This window comes from Homo sapiens, chromosome 3 (assembly GCF_000001405.40).
Source record: "Homo sapiens chromosome 3, GRCh38.p14 Primary Assembly".
Lineage (NCBI taxonomy): Eukaryota > Metazoa > Chordata > Mammalia > Primates > Hominidae > Homo > Homo sapiens.
In genome coordinates, this window is record NC_000003.12 from 156,619,708 (window position 1) to 156,636,707 (window position 17,000).

The 17,000-nt window shown below is 45.3% G+C and overlaps 1 annotated feature.

Annotated features, from left to right (window-relative positions):
- Positions 697 to 756: an enhancer, noted in NCBI's record as "active region_20729". NCBI's record gives its function as "activates an Ori minimal core promoter by ATAC-STARR-seq in GM12878 lymphoblastoid cells {active_cell/tissue: GM12878}" and the evidence as "EXISTENCE:reporter gene assay evidence [ECO:0000049][PMID:35858748]".

Below are 17,000 nucleotides of genomic sequence, written 5' to 3' on the forward strand. Positions count from 1 at the left end.
TGGCTTATTTCACTTAGCATAATGTTTTCAAGGTTCATCCACATTGTAGCATGCATCAAACCTCCTTTTCATTGCCAAATAATATTCCATTACATAGAGTGTTTTGATAACCTTTTGGTAAACAAATGACAGACCTTTGGGTTTTGTCCACTTTTTGACTATTATGAATAATGAAGCTATAAACACTTGTATACAAGTTCTTGTGTGAACATGTTTTCATTTCTTTTTGTATATGTCTAGGAGAATTGTTGGGTCATGTAATAACTTATGTTTAACATTTTGAGGAATTGGCAAACTGTTTTCCGAAGGGGCCACATCATTTTACATTCCTACCAGCAATGTATACAGGTTCCAATTTCTCCCCATCCTTGCCAACAGCTGTTATTTTTAAATTATTTATCATCATCATTATTTTTATTATTATAGCTGTCCTAGTAAGTGTGAAGGGGTGATACATGTGGTTAGTGGCTACCATATTAGACAAAGCAGAGTCGGGGCTAAAATGAAATTAAAAATCCACATCATACATTCTACACTAATTTTTTTCAAGCCAACACTTACTGAACTTTTACTATGTGGCAGTTACTATACTAAGCATTATCTTGGATTATCTCATTTCATTCTCACAATATATGATGGAATAAGTACTGTTACTGGCTATAAGGGAAATGGCTGCACTTTAGTCAGGAGTAGGCTGAGGTGGCCTTCAGTCGCACCATGACTCAGCAGGTTTGGAGCACCAGCACACAACCCTGCAAGTTATGTCATGTGAGGCACATTAGGTGATCACCCATGTGAGCTTGTGCTTGGCTCAGAGCCATATTGTCTGTAAAAGGTATAATTACTCTGCTGATGCTGTACCTATGGCTTGCTTGTGCCCAGAGAGAGAGTAAAGCCACGTCAAAACTATCTATGATTCCTTGAGTGTTTTTCCAGCTACCCACCACTCACCCACTGACTCCCCTCAGACATCAGTTAGAACCTAACAATTGGCATCATGAACAGGATCCTGAGGTGAGTGAGCCTTCGGTCCCCACCGATTCTGGGTCAGCCATCTGGCCACAACATGGGTTATGGTACCCGGTGGCAGCTGTGCTGCTCAGATAGGCTCTGGTGGAAACCTGAATGGTAGTAGATGGGTCCTCTGTGAGCATGAAAAAAGCACTGAAGTAGCTGGAAGTGCAGAGCACCGAGAAGGAGCGAGCTTTTGCCGGCAGAGTTGGATGGGCATTTTTGACTGTGCTATGAGAAGTACACACACAGTTCCTAAGTGATGCAGCACAGCATTTGCAAGTGAGCAGGTGTCTGGCACAGGGCAAGGTGATCACACCCTGATTGAGTGGCTATGGGCAGCCATACAGACTGTGTGGAACAACACCAGTGAAATACCGAAAACAGTGAGTAATGGGAGTTGTATGCTGAGTTGGTGCAAGTCATCTGGGAGATGGGTATGTGGCAGGCTATGTTTGACCTGAATACCCAGAGGCCAGATGATGAACGTTTCACCTCCCACATGAGGGATCTTGTGTTGGGTTCTGTGCTCCGGAGTGCCTCTGCCTCCCTAGCTGCTGTCCTCACCCTGTACATAGGGCACCACATACATGAAGTGACCATTGCTGTGACAGCTCTTGGGGAAGCAGAAGGCTGTCAGCAGGACTGAGGGGTCTATGCCATAAAGAAGGGGAAGATGCTCTGCCCACAGGGGCCCCCCCATGGGAGAAAAGAGGGCCCCAACAAGTAACATGCTCACGGATGTGGATAGATTTGATTTTGACCGGGGTTGACCGAGAGAAAATCAATAAGCAGCCCAATGAAGTACTCTTAACTTTGTGGAGATAATTGTCTCTGGAGCAGCAATTCCAGAAAATGCCCAACGGGGAGAAGGACATTGCTGCGTGACCCAGTCCCACCCGGGCACTTCAGCTCAAAGACTACTTGCTGCAGCCAGGTGGAAATGTAGAGCCTTTTCTGTTTGATTAGGAAACTGGCTGAGGTGCCCATCTTGGGGGGACACCAGACAACCAGCGACCACGTGTGGAATTAGTGATCCACTGGTCTTCCACTAGTGTACAATGGGTGCTGGTGCTGGTGGATACTGGCACAGATTGTGTCCTTGCTTATGGGAACCCAAATAAATTTCAGGGCTAACCTGCTTACATTGATGGATATGGAGGCTGGTCAGTGGAAGTGAAACCTGTATCTCTGCACCTTGGCATCTGCTGTTTGGCTCCCCATTTATATTCTGTGTATTTCTCTCCCATACCAGAATACATTCTGGGGATGGACATTTTACATGGCCTGGCATTACAAACCACACCCAGGGAATTCAGACTCTGAGTGTGTGTGGTGAAGCCGATGCTGCGTGGACATACATGTCACCAGCCTCAGGTCCTGCCACAACCCTGACAGGTTACTTCCACCCATCAATACTGTTTGCCAGGTGGGCATACAGAGATAACTGAGACAATTAAAAACCTGGAGGAGGTGCAGATAGTGTGTGGCACCCACAGCCCCTACAATTCTCCAGTGTGGCCAGTTAGAAAGCCTAATGGAACTTGTTGGATGATGGTGGACTATTGGGAACTGAATAAAGTAACACCCCCTTTGCATGCAGCTGTACTGTCAATCATGGATTTGATGGACTGTTTGATGACAGAACTGGGACAGTATCACTATGAAGTGGACTTGGCCAATGCATTTTTCTCCATTGACATTGCTCCAGAGACCCAGGAACAGTTTGCCTTCATGTGGGATAGGCAACAATGGACTTTCACAGTGTTGCTGCAGGGCTATGTGCATAGCCCCACCATATGTCCTGGTCTAGTTGCAACAGATTTAGCTGCCTGGCAATGTCCAGAAGGGGTCCACCTATTCCATTATATTGATGATATCATGTTAACCTCTGATTCTCTTGCAGATTTAGAAGTGGTGGCACCCCTCTTGCAGCAACATGTAGCAGCATACGGTTGGGCCATCAATGAATCCAAGGTCCAAGGGCCTGGATTAGCTGCCAAATTCTTGGGAGTTATCTGGTCAGGTAAGACAAAGGCCATCCCAGAGGCTATGATTGATAAGATTCAGGCATATCCCTGGCCCACCACAGTGAAGAAGCTGCAGATTTTTGTGGGGCTCCTGGGATATCAGCGGGCATTTGTGTCCTTTTTAGCTCAAATGATAAAATTGTTGCATTGGTTAACAAAGAAGGGAGCTCCCTGGGATTGGGATGATGCGGCTGAGACCGCCTTCCTGGCAGCCAAGCTGGCTATTCAGCAGGCACAAGCCCTATGGGTAGTTGACTTGGGGCACCCATTTGAGCTGGATGTGCATGTGACCACAGATGGTTTCGGCTGGGGGGCCTGTGGCAGTGCATAGAGTGCTTGCAAGTGCCAGTAGGCTTTTGGTCCCAACTATGGAAGGGAGATGAGCTCCAGTATTCCCTGATAGAGAAACGCTAGCAGCTATATATGCTGCCCTTCAAGCTGTGAGAGTGTGACAGGATGGGCTGCAGTCGTCGTGTGGATAACTTACCCAATAGTGAGATGGGTGCATTCATGGGTAACGACCCCCCAGACTGGGACGGTGCAGACATCCACTTTGGCAAAGTGGGGTGCCTACGTGGAGCAGCAGGGTACACTGAGTACAAACCCCTTAGCAGCAGAGTTGCAAGAGGTCTTGGGACCTGTAGTCCTAATGCAAGATAAGGCCATGGGGCCTGAGGCAGCCCTAGACCCTGAGCCTTCACCATTTAAGGAAGGGCATCCCTCAATTCCTGATGGGGCATGGTAAACAGATGGGTCTAACTGAGGTGCTACTGCAGCCTGGACTGCCGTTGCAGTCCAACCTTGTACTGACACCATATGGTTGAAACCGGGTGTGAACAAAATAGCCAATGGGCTGAACTTAGAGCAGCATGGATGGTGATCACAAAGGAGGTGACACCTATGGTAATCTGTACCAATAGCTGGGTGGTCTCTCGAGGCTTAACCTTGTGGTAACTACCTGGCAAATACAGAAGTGGCTAGTTGGCCACTCACCCATTTGGGGCCAAGCCACGTGGCAAGACCTCTGGGAAATGGATCATCAGAAAGAGGTAATTATTTATCACGTGTCAGGCCATATGCCTTTGGCCACCCCTGGCAAGGATGAAGCAGATGCCTTGGCCAAGGTCTGATGGTTAGATTCAGCACCTCCACAAGATGTGGCTTTGTGGCTACACTGGAAACTGGGACGTGTGGGGGGTAAACTGATGCAACATGTCAATAAGTGTTGGGGTCTGTATCTGCCCGTACAAGATATTTGTGAGGCTTGTCAGAAATGTCGGGCATGTACTCAGGCATACCTTAAACAGAGGCAGCTGCCCAGTGTTACATAAGTGACGATAGGGCGAGTGCCCTTGACCAGGTGGCAAGTAGACTACAAGGGTATATGCATACACTACAGCTGTGGACACGGCTGCAAGCCTGTTGTTCACCTACCCTTGCAGGATGGCCAACCAACAGAACACCATCTGGCCTCTGCAACACTTAGGTGCCCTGTATCGTCACCCTCTGGCCATTGAGATTGATAGGGGAGCACATTTCACTGGAAAACAGGTATAAGAATGGGCACAAGAAATGGACATAAAGTGGGGATTCCATGTGTCATACAACCTGCAAGCTGCAGATATGATTGAGCGATGTAACAGGCTCTTGAAGAATGGGTTACGCTTGCCTGTCACACCCTCGTCTTTGCGGGGCTGGAGTTCCAGGCTGGACCTGATGCACCAAACCTTGAATGAATAGCCACAGAAAGGTGGCCTGGCCCCAGTGGAGGCTTTGTTACACCAGGCCACCACCCTCATTCAGTTACAGATACATACCAAGGATGACCTCCCCTGACCAGGTATGGGGATGAACGGTAACCTGCCGTGATGAATGTTGCTTGCCCCAACACCCCTGAAGGCGAGGGAACAGAAAACCTGGCTGTGGCCATGGACCCTCCAAGCCCCCACTGTGGTGGTTGCCATTGTAGCTCCCTTGGGGGAGGGCCTACAGTATGACTTGCTTGTCATTCCTTGGGTGTTCAATGCATAGTCCCCACGGTTGACTGTTCATAGGGGAATGGCCAGGGAAGGAACCCTCCTCAGGGGACATATGTACTGTCTGTGTGGCATGTTATGAGCTCCCCCGTGACTTTTGCATGGAGACGGGACTCAAAGGAACCATGGGGAGCTGAGAAAGTATGGTACCATCTCCCAGGGCAAAAGCTCATGGTGACCACGTTGTTATCCAGGGATGAAAGTTTAGCTTGTATTTTGCCTGAGGGACGTGATTTACCTCTGTTAGTACCTGTGCCTGCTCTATCATTTTGGCTGTAGGTTAACATGCTCCAACTGCATTGTGGACTGGGCCCACACCTACGCTGAAGTGACCAATGTTTCCAACTCTTTGATCTGTACCACCCTTCCAGCAGCAGCTGCGGACTGCTTGCCTTGGCACATACACCCCGTGTCTTCAGTGAACTGGACATGGTTGGAGACTTGGGGCCCCATGGCTGATGCCTCGAATGCAATGCAGCAAGCTTTGGACAAAGGCTGCCACAAGGCCCATGGTGCACCCACCCCCTGGCTGGCCCATAGTGTTTATAATGGGTGGGGCTGCCTAATGGGGGAACATGTAGTACCCCCAGCCCAGGTGCCATGATGCATAGAGCAACATTGGGGTAACACCACTGTGGGATGCCTACCCATCACAGTCTGTGTAAACATAACACATGTCACCATATCGAAGGTATGGTGGAACAAGTGGCCCCACCAAGGTTGGTCCCCGATAGATGTTGTGCCCCCGGGGAGTTTATGGATCTGTGGGGACACAGGGTGGCCTTACCTACCAGCACACTGGACTGGACATTGTACCTGGGGGTGGCCTTATGTACCTGCCACCCCCATGCCACCTGCCATGTGTTTTCCCCACATTGCCCAGATACCCGCATAAATGGGAGGCACTACACTCTCAGTTTTTGTGAGTGCAACAAGCCCCCTGATGGTTGGCAATGACTATCCCTGGAGCAGGTGTCATAACTGTAGAAGCACAAGTTACTGCTCTTGCAGAGCACAGCACTCGGGCTCTGAATTACATCTGAGTGGCCCTCCTGTTAACAGATGAGGTTGATCAGATCAGAAAGGTTTTGTGGCAAAATCGAATGGCCTTAGACATAGTAATAGCTTCCCAAGGAGGCACCTGTGCCTTTTAAGGAACACAATGTTGTACCTTTATCCCTGACAATCAGCAGAACATAACAGTAGCTCTGCAACAGGTCTCATGGGAGAGTAAGGTGGTCCAGAGCCTTACTGATGACCCCCTGCAGAAATAGTGGGCATCCCTAGGCTCTGGCCTACTCTGGGCCCTAATAGTCATAAGTAGCATAGCTGGGATCCTAGTAGTGAGCTGTTGCTCTCTGTATTGTTGTTATTGTTATTGTTATGGATGCAGGGCTCTGCCCTACAGGCACATGTCCCTGCCCAGAGGGCACTCTCAGCCTAGGGGGTAGAGTGTAAGGGAAATGGCTAAGCTTTAGTCAGGAGTAGGCTGAAGTGCCCTTCCAGCGCAGCATGACTCATCTGGTTTGGAGTGCAGGTGCACAACCCCACACATTATGTAACCACACCATGTGAGGTGCATTAGGTATCACCCACGTGATCTTGTGCTTAGCTCGAAGCTACTGTTGTCTGTAAAATGTATAATTACCCTGCTAACGCTGTACATATAGCTTGCTCATGCCCAGAGAGAGAGAGTAAAGCCACGTCAAAACTGTCTACGATTCCTTGAGTGTTTTTGCAGCTACCCACCACTTGCCCACTGACTCCCCTTGGACCTCAGTTAGAACCTGACATTTTATAAATGAGGAAAACAGTTTAGAAGTTTAGTTACTTATGGCTGGTAAGTGGCAATGCCAGGATTTAAACTTAGTTCTGTTTGTCTCCTGAACCAAAGTCTTTAACCACTACACTGTACTGCTGAATATTTTATTTAGTAGATTCACTTTTGCAAATGATTCTAATCACTCATTACTTTTTGAATTCTAAGTTTTACCCTCATCATGTGTGCTCTCTACCTCCTAAGGATATCTAGTACAGTTGTTTTCAAACTTGGTTAGGTATCAGAATCACCTACTTGAATATGCTTCATTCACTTTGTAGATATTTCTGATATATACCAAATTTTGAGAACCATTGAGTCTGTTAGAATAAGGTTCAGCTATAATGAACAGAAATAGTGCTATAAACTAGTTTCTTTTTCTCCCCCATTAAGAAGCCCAGAATAGTCATTCTAGAGCTGGTATCGAGCTTGGTGTGGGGAACAAGACTCCTTTTACTTTCTTTGTTTTGTGTGGCTTCCATTCTTCTAAAGTCATCTCAGTGACCAATTGCCTGTTGGAGCTTCATCTACATCTGCATTCTAGCTAGCAAGAAGGTGGAAGGGTGGAAGAATACATACCTTCTCTTTAATGATTGTCAGGAATATGCACCACTTCCACTTAATCCCATGGGTCAGAATTGAAACATACAGCCATGCCCTCCTGCAAGGAAGGCTGGGAAAAGTGGTCTTTATTCTGTGTGGCTACGTAGGCAGCTAAAAATTAGACATTCTCTTATGATGGAGGAATTAGGAGGAATAAACCTTCAAGAATAATTAATCTCTGTCACACTCAGCAGGGAGGAAAATTTACCTAATCCTTATATCTACATTTGACCATGAGACCTAAGAGAAATTCTTTCTATAAGAGGTTTTTAGATCTCATAATGAAGGTGGCTAAGGCAGTGGCTCTCAAACTCTGCTGCACATTAGAATCAACTGGGATCTTACAAACTAATGATGCCTGACTTCCACACCCAATCATTCTGACTTAGTTGGTATGAAATAGAACCTAGACATTAGGGTATTTAAAAGCCCCCCATAATGATTCTGATTTGCAGGAAAAGTTTGGACTAAAGGGGGGGAAACACTCCTAAATCTTTTCCTTAACTCTATCACAGGATCTTCAACCTAAGATACAAGTAGTGTGGATAAGATCCACTGAGTGTTGTTTTGCTCCATTGATGGGCTCCTATTTTTTCCTGTGCCATTGACATCTCAGCAGTTGAACTAGTGAATGTTACTGGTAATAAAGTTACATGTGACCAGGGAAGATTCATTATCGGTATCGCAAAAGACAAAGACAACTCAGACGATATGTCCTACTCACAAAAGCCAGTGACATTTTCATGTACAAAGAACACATTTTAGTTGTAGCTATATTTATACACATGTTATTTGTATGTGGCATGAAAATAGCTATTTTGGTTTTCTGTGTGTGCACGCATGTAGCAGGACCCAGACACAGTAGTGAATCATCCTTAAGTACAGCATTTACATTTTAAACACAGGAACCTATTCAAATCAAATGTGGAAGGCCCTCTCTATTTGGCAGTATATTTGTCATCCGGAAGCTCAAAATAGCCTTTTAGAGATCTAAGCAGTTTGAGCTAGTGGCATCTCAACCTATTACTAGCTGTCAGATATTTTATCCATTCAAGCAGATAGGTGGGCAAAGGTTATGTTTTCTTTGAATTGCTAATGCAGAGGTCTGCCTTTTAAGTTGAGATGTGAAATGAGAAGAGGAGTAAAAGAGGAAATTCTCAAAGACGAAAGCTAGATAGGTCATTTCATTCACCTCTTCACCTTCAGAAAGAATGACATTAAAACATTCTAAACAGGTGAGAATCTATACTATTTTTATAGCTCTTCAATGACAGGATTGCACAACCACATTCCTACCATACCACATTTCATTGCAACAATTTGCAGCTAGGAAATTTCTTTTTACATCTAACCCAAGGATTCTGACCAGGTTGATCCCATTTCCTCCTCGCTGTTCTTCAGAGGGACAACACCATTCTTTTATAAAATTATCTTGGTACTTACATAATTACATTAATCTTCAGGTTTCTCTTTTACAATCCAAATACTAATAACATCCCTTCACACCTTCCTTTTAAATAGTTTTCAAATATAATCAGCTTTGCAGCAATCTTCTTTTAACCTAGGGGTTCCCAGACTTGTTTGCACATTAGAATCATCTGAGGAGCTTCAAAAACTACTGATGCCTGTGTCCCACCCCCAGAGATTCTGATTTAAGTGTCTGGAGTATGTACTAAAGTGGAGATTTTTTAAAAAGATTCTCAAGTGCTTCAAAAGTGCATCAAGTTCAGAAACCACTATCTGAACCTGCTGCAGCCTATTACCCACTTCTCCTTCTGTTTGCTAATAGAACCTTGATAATAGTCCCAGATAAGAAATCATGACTGGCCTAAAACTGTGGTTTCCAGTTCTGCTACCATTAGAATCACCTGGAGAGCTTTGACTATACGGAAGCCTGGACTCCACCAACAAATTAAATCAGAACATCTGGGGGTGGGACCAGGAAACGGTATCTTTAAAAATGCTCTCCAAATGTTTTTAATGCACCACCAGGGTTGAGAGCCATTGGTGGAGGTCAGTGACTCTCAAAGTGTTTTTTAAAGTCCGGAAGCATCCGCATCAACTGAGATATTTAAATAATACAAATTCTTAGGTCCAAACCCAGGCCTACTGAATCAGCATCTCTGGGGGGTGGAGCCCAGCAATCAGTGTTTTAACAAGCCCTCCAGGGGATTTCAATGCTTGCTAGAGTTTGAGTAGCACTAGTCTAAGTCCATTATGATAAGCCTGTTCCCTGATTTCCCAGCCTTCCTTCAACAACAGGTGGCTGTGTGACCCAGTTCAAGCCAATGCCACCCAGCAGAGTTCTACTGAGAAAACGTGGTTTCTGGGAAAATTTTTGCTTTCTTGGTACAAGGGAACACACATCATGCACTTCTGCTTCTTCTTTCCTTACAGTCTTGGGGGTAGGTAGTCCCTGAAGCCTCAGCTGCCATTTTGGGATCATGAGCAAAACACACTTGTGGAAAGTCCAAGAAAATCACAGCGATGCTGCCCAATACTAGCAGTAACCTACCCTCAGACTTCTAGTTATAAGAAAAACCCTACTTGTTTAAGCCATTGTTAGTAGAAATTTATGTTGCTTGCAGCTGAACAAAATCTTTATACAGAGTCAAATTTCCAAGTACCTTTTACATGGAGAAAACTCAGAGCTGAACCCAATACTTTTACATGGAGCTAGTAACACTAAATTTCAGGGAAGGTCATCTTCTAATTGTGATATTCTAAACACTTCATCAGTAGATCTTAAACCTGGCTGCCTATCAGGATTACCTGAGGAAGCTTATCTTAAATGATTCATGGACCTCACCCCAGATATACTGAATTTGAATCTCTCAAATTGGGACTGGGAGACTCTGTAACTTAACAAGGCGATTAGTATGCCCTCAGCTGACCCCAGTCCACAGCATGGCTGAGACTAGGGTGAGGCAAGTAAAAAGCCCAGGGTGCAAAATTTAAGGAGGCACTCACTCTCAGGGTTGTGCAAGCATAGGGTCAACAGTTGCATGTCCAGAGAGTAGATGCCTTCTTTAATTTTGTGTCCTAGGCACCTCATTTGGCCTCTTCCTAGCCTCTACCCTGATTCAGATAAGGTAGATGTAACAGGTGGTGCCAGTCATTTGTCATGACATGGTGGTAACCCCAGCCAAATATTCCTTTACAAAAATTCACTGATTGTTCCAACTGAATTATTTTTTTAGTGGTGGTTCCTGCATCATAAAGACATAGCCTATACTCTATAAATAATGATAATATATAGTTTATTTTCAATTTGGGTTATGCATCTAGGTGTCAAATGACAACAATTTCCTTCTGAGCTGAAAAATAACTACAGCACTGATTGTCTCAGTCCCTGTTCACCCACATAAAAACAGGAATGTGATCCTGAGAGAGAAGAATTTAATTGGGTGAGTCAATAGGTGTCAGGTATCAGCATGTTGGTGGCAGAATCCAGGGCTGCAGTCCTCATGTAGCTACTAAATAATCAAGTATTGGTTACTTGAATTAAAAGTGGAAACTAGTAGGTGTTGGTAAAAATGTGTTGAGCTTGGCTACTCCTGTTTTCCAAAAGCATTTTAGGACACATATATGCTGCAGTATCCCAGAAATAGAAGTGTGGGTAACTTAACCCAAAGTTGTGGTTCCTGTGTCCAGCCTGTGTTGGATGGTGTGTCAGCACAATGAATGCTGAAGAATCTCTGTGGACTGTCATTCTAGAGCCTCCTAAGAATGCCTCACTAGGGTTGGCAGAGAGGTAGGGGTGCTGGCCAGGCAGACGAAGGGAAGTCCACACACGGCTTTGGTTGAAGCAGTGCCAAAGGCCAGGATAAAAGCTGTAGACCTGTTTAACTCCAGATTTTAGGGCTCTCGCTTTTGATTTTATAGATGTAGTACTGATGGGAACAGCTGGTGGTATGTAGCGGGAGGACAGCCTGAACAAAGTGAAATATACGAGGTTCCTCTCATCATCCCTCCCTACTTCTGCAGAGGTGGCATTAGAGCACCTTTCATCTTAATGTGACTGGTGAATACCCCAGCATCAGGCAGATATTTCACATGTGCTTGCCAAAAATAATAACCACTCTTTTCTGCCCGATGGATGCTAGACACTCTGATTCCTCAATCTGTGATTGTCCCTCAGGTCTATGGCAGCAGGAATAGATGTCCTGCATCTTACCATGGAGAGGGAATTAGTTACAGTTCTACTGGTGAATCAGGAATTGAGTAACTCTCCTGGAGGCAGCTTCTCTACCTCCTTTCCTGACAGTCATTAAAGCAGGCAAGGCGGCACTCAGCAGCAACTGACAAGCTGGAACTGAATTAAATCAACACCTGAATGGTCAGAGGGTTTAGAAGGAGCCAAAAATGTGTTTTCCAGCCAGGATGATTGAGAACCCACACCTGGTGCCAGAGTACAACACACAGGTGCCTGCCAGGGCACCCAGGCAGATATGCTATGCTCCTGGTATAGGGTGGGTGGAGGGGGCTCTGCCTGCAATGTCACACTCCTTTAAACACAGGTCGGGTGTTGCTACAAGATGCATCTTGAGGTATGAAGAGAAGAAATGACACAATGCCTGGGGCTTGTTTTAACATACTTCAATTTAAGAACTTCAGCAAAGAAAAATAATAAAGGGGGCCAGATAAAGCAAATGTAGCAAAATTGTGATCATTATTGAATCTGGATGTTGGATAAATAAGGATTTTCTATTAGGGTAAACAGGATTATTCTTGCCCCAATAAGACAAAAAGGAATAGAATAATTTTATGGCAAATAGGATTATTCTAATTGTTCTTACTTTGTGTACCTGAACACTTTCATAATTAAAAGTCTGTTTAAAAATTCCAATCAATCATTATAAAGCTTGTAAACCTCACATTAAGTTGATGTATGCCTTTGAATACTACTCATTTCTTTCAGGTGACAGCAAGCAATAGGGAGCCAGAACCGCATGGAATTTGGTTTGAAATGTCCTCCTCACCCAGCCCCATCCACCACCACCTACTTGGGCTCAGAACCCTTATTTTTTAGTGAAAAGATGGCAGGACTGAGGCTTATGAAATCTGAACATGAGTTCTTGTTCGTTCATTAACAGTGAGACCTGCAACAACTCACTTGCCTGCTTGGAAGCCTCCTTTCTTCCTCTGTAAAATGGGGATGATCCTTTAATACCAGCTTTGCAGGTTACTGGAGAATCACATGAAATAATGTACACTGTGAAGTGTGAAGGCAGTGTTGGTTGTTATTAACACCAGCAGCCTGACCTTGAACCAGGCAACCAAATGCTCTGTCTCAGAGCCCTCATCTATGAGATGAGTGAGGGGATTACATCATGGTACACAGGCTCTGTGAGAACCACGTAGGAGGCATGTTAAAATTCAGATTCCGGGCCTGCCGTGGTTTAGATATTTGACCCTCCAAACATCTTGTTGAAATTCAACCCCTAATATTAGAGGTAGGGCCTAACGGGAGGTGTCTGGGTCATGGGGGCCGATCCTTCATGAATGGCTTGGTGCCAGTTGTTGAGGTAATGAGTGAATTCTTGCTCTATCAGTTACCATGACACTTGATTGCTTCCTCTCTGGCTATGTGACCTCTGTATACACCAGGTCCTCTTCCCCTTCTACCAAGAGCTTGTCCCATGGTGAGCTGAAGCCCTCACCAGAAGCAGATGCTGGTACCATGCTTCTTGTACAGCCTGCAGAACCGTGAGCCAAATAAACTTCTCTTCTTTATAAATTGCCCAGCCTCAAGTATTCATTTACAGCAACACAAATGGACTAAAACAGGGGCCCACCACAATCTACTAATCAGGATTTCCAGATGTGGGGCATAGAGAAGTCACACGGCTGATTCTGCTTTGCAGCCTAGTTGGGGGCAGCTGAATTCAGTAACTGTTGAGGTCCTTTCACGCTCTAACAGCCGAAATGGCTGTTTGGGAATTTCGAGTCGATTGAGCCAAGTTATTTTGATGGTTAGGTGCAGATCACAGATTTGGGGTAATTTCATGGTGATAAACAGTGAAAGAGAATCAGAATAAACAAAGGAGAGGAAGCTGGGCACTGGCATGGTGGACTGAGGCCTTCATAGCTAGGAGTAGACACACACATTAATAGAGTGGAGGGGGCCAGCTGTTCCGCCCATGCAGCTGTCATATAAAAATGACTGGTGACAGGGGCTTCCCAAGCCACCTGAAAGAGCTTATAGGAGGAGAGTGAATTGTCTCAAGTCACCTATAACTCATACAGTCTGTGGGACTCTTAGGGTGGCTTGTCCAGGCAGCAGGCCACATGTGGGAGGGTGGCCTTGAAGTCCTGGCTTCAGGCCTGCAGCTCCTTCACTGCCAGGCCCACATGATTGGCTGCCTACCACGCCTGCACTCATCCTACTGGCTGCTCCTCTGCTTATCCTCACAGTACATTCCAACATTTGTGAACGCTTGCTCACAAGTCTCTCTTCCCACATTCTAACTTCTTTCAGAATTCTTGTTTGTCTCGTCTGAAAAGCAATCCAGTTCAGTATTTGTTGACTGCCTGTTATATTCAATGCCTTGTGCTAAGGACCTCAGTTGATACAAAGAGGAGAAAGGAGTTGTGCCCTTGAAGCATCAGTCAAATGTGGGGAGAGAGGAGAGAATCAGACAAAGCACACAGATAACCCAAACCCCAAAAAACTAGCAAGTACCCTGAGAATAGTGAATAGCATACGTTGTGAAAGGATTTCAAGGAGGACGATCACATTCAAAACACTTCATGGCAAAAGTGGTATTAGAAATGGGTTTTGAATGGTAAGTAGATTTTTACCAGGCAGGGAAGGATTGGGGCACAGCAGGAGCAAAGACACAGAGGTAGCAAAAGAGGATATGTGTTTGGAGAAAAGCAAGCAGTGACATCTTGACGAGGTCTTGGAAAAAAGAGGAGGCCAAAGGATCCAAAGGTAGGCTGGGGCCAAACAGAAGCAGCACTTACTTCAACTTGGTAAATAAGAAAGGTTCCTAAAGGTTTTTGAGAAGAGGCCTGACACGATCCAAGCAGTACTTCGAGAACTTTGACTTAGTGCCAGTGTGCAGACTAGAGAGCCAGATGGACTAAGTGACCTAGAGGGGATGGGACAAGAGAGTAATGGGCCACAGGGGTTCCCCAACACCTCAGCTGCCAGAGTCCAAGAAACCATGGAGTCAGGGCTAAGAAGGAGGGTGTCATGAGGTGTTATTCTTAAAACTCTTAGGATAAGATAAGAAGCCCTCCACTCTAGACCTATACCTGAGATCGGGAGAGGTCAGCGTTTTCCTGCTGTAAACCAAAGGCATACAATCACCATTCCTGAGAGAGCTTTTTTTGAACATTGGCCAATTTACCTTCCACTAATATTAACAGCCATTCCATGGGGATCTGCAAAACAAAAACAAACAAAAGTGATTGAAATGAAGGCTAGGGCACCTTGCTTTCTTTGCATCTCAGAACTTCTAAACAGTCCCTGAGTGTAGATTTTACTCTTTCATGGAAGTTTCTCTCCTCCCCCTCTTTATAGGATCTGCAAGATCGCACTTTCTGATGGCTTCATCCCCTAGCATCATCTGGCTACTTCTCCTGCTCCAAACCACCACTCCTCCTGCTCCAAACTGCCATCTCTCATCTAAACTACTTCCAGAGCCTTTTAGCTGCCTGCTTGTACTCATGCCCTCTCCCTGTTCCCCCTCCAAGTCACAGACAGTCAGAAACAAACATCCAGTTCTGTTAAAGCATAAATAACACCATATCACTGCCTGGTGTCAGCCCTCCAATACGCCTCTCATACTTAGGTTAACATCTGAAGTCCTTAGTGTGACCCACGTGGTCTTCAATGATCTGGCCCCTGTGTCCCCCTTTACCCTTACTCTCCAGCCACTCTGGCCTTTCTGCTGTTTTCACACCCACTGAGCATGTGCCAGACTCAAGCCTTGCCCTTGCTTTCCCTTCTGCCTGGAATGCTCTCCCCCAGATATTTGCATGGCCAGCAACCTCACTTCCTTTAGAGTTCTTTTTAAATGTCACCTCCTCAGAGAGGCCTTTCTGAATCCTCCAGTCCCTCTCTACCCACTTGCCCTGCTTCATTTTTCTTCATAGAGTTAACCACAATAGACACTTGTATAATGTCTGTGTGCTCCGGTAGAATGTAAGATCCCTGAGGCTAGATCTCCATTCTGCCCACCTCAGTTTGTTCGGGGCCTGGATAAGGGCTAAGTTCTCAATAAACAGTTGTCAAATGAATAAATTGTAGCTCTTCTCTCTAGCAAACACCTTCCTCTGGCTCTGCCTTTGTTTCTCAGTCCTCATTCTCTTTAGTCTTTGCAGAGTTTGATCTAACTTAGCACCATGTCTTTCCCCTTGATCAGCATGGAGCTGAATTCATCTATTATGGCTCTGATACTTTCATGGGCTCCCTAAATATAAATACGCCTGAGGATTCAGTCCTTACTCTTCAGCTCTTTTCCCTACTTCCCTCCCTCTGCCTTTCCTCCATCTTCATCTCTTCCCTCTATGCAGATGATATCCTAATATTTACTTTCAGCCTAGACTCCTCTAGAAACTCTCCTTCCAAATGCCTCCTGGGCATTCTAAAGGGACCTTATGTCTCATATACTTAAAAACTTCATTCTCTTCTTCACTTTTCTATGTCTGTTAATGGCACCACTATTTTCTTGACCCCTGAGTTAGAAGCCTTAGTGTTGTTTTTTCCTTCCTTCTTCAGATCCCCTTTCAATTAGTCACAAAGTTCCTATTGAATCTTTCTTTCAAATGGCTCTTACATCACTCCCACTGTTTCCATTGCCACAGCCATGTTCCTGGTCCAGCCTTTACTACATGGCCAGAACCAGCTTGACCTCTTTGTTGGTAACTTTCCTGCTTATAGGACCCTATTCGAGGCCCCCTTCTCCTATATCTCTACTTCAAGGAACTCCTCCAGGCTCTGAGCCAACTAACCTAACCTCACTGATGACCATGCATTTCCAGTCCGAGTTTGGTTCCCTGTTCACCCCTGCACTGCCCAAACCTGCCAACCCTGATCTTAATGTGTAGAAGCCATACGGACCAAGCCCACCAATTCCACAGCCTGTGCCCAGCTCCTAGCTCCCATTTCCCCAGGTGTTTTACTCTGTTTGTGCAGCTAACAAAATACCTGAGACCAGGTAATTTATAAAGAATAGAAATTTATTCTATTTATGCTATTCCAAGGAGGCTTGGAAGTCCAAGATTAAGGCACTAGTAGGTTAGGTGTCTGGTGAGGGCCAGGTCTCTGCTTCCAAGATGGTGCCTTGAACTCTGCTTCTTCCTGAGGGAATGAACACTCTGTCCTCGCATAGTGGAAGACATAAGTGCAAAAGGGCCTACAGTGCTTCCTCCAACCTCTTTTATAAGGTTGCTAATCTATTCACAAGGGTTGTGTCCTCATGACTTAATCACTTCCTAAAGGCCCCACCTCTTAATACTATCATATTGGTGATTAAGTTTTATAAGAAT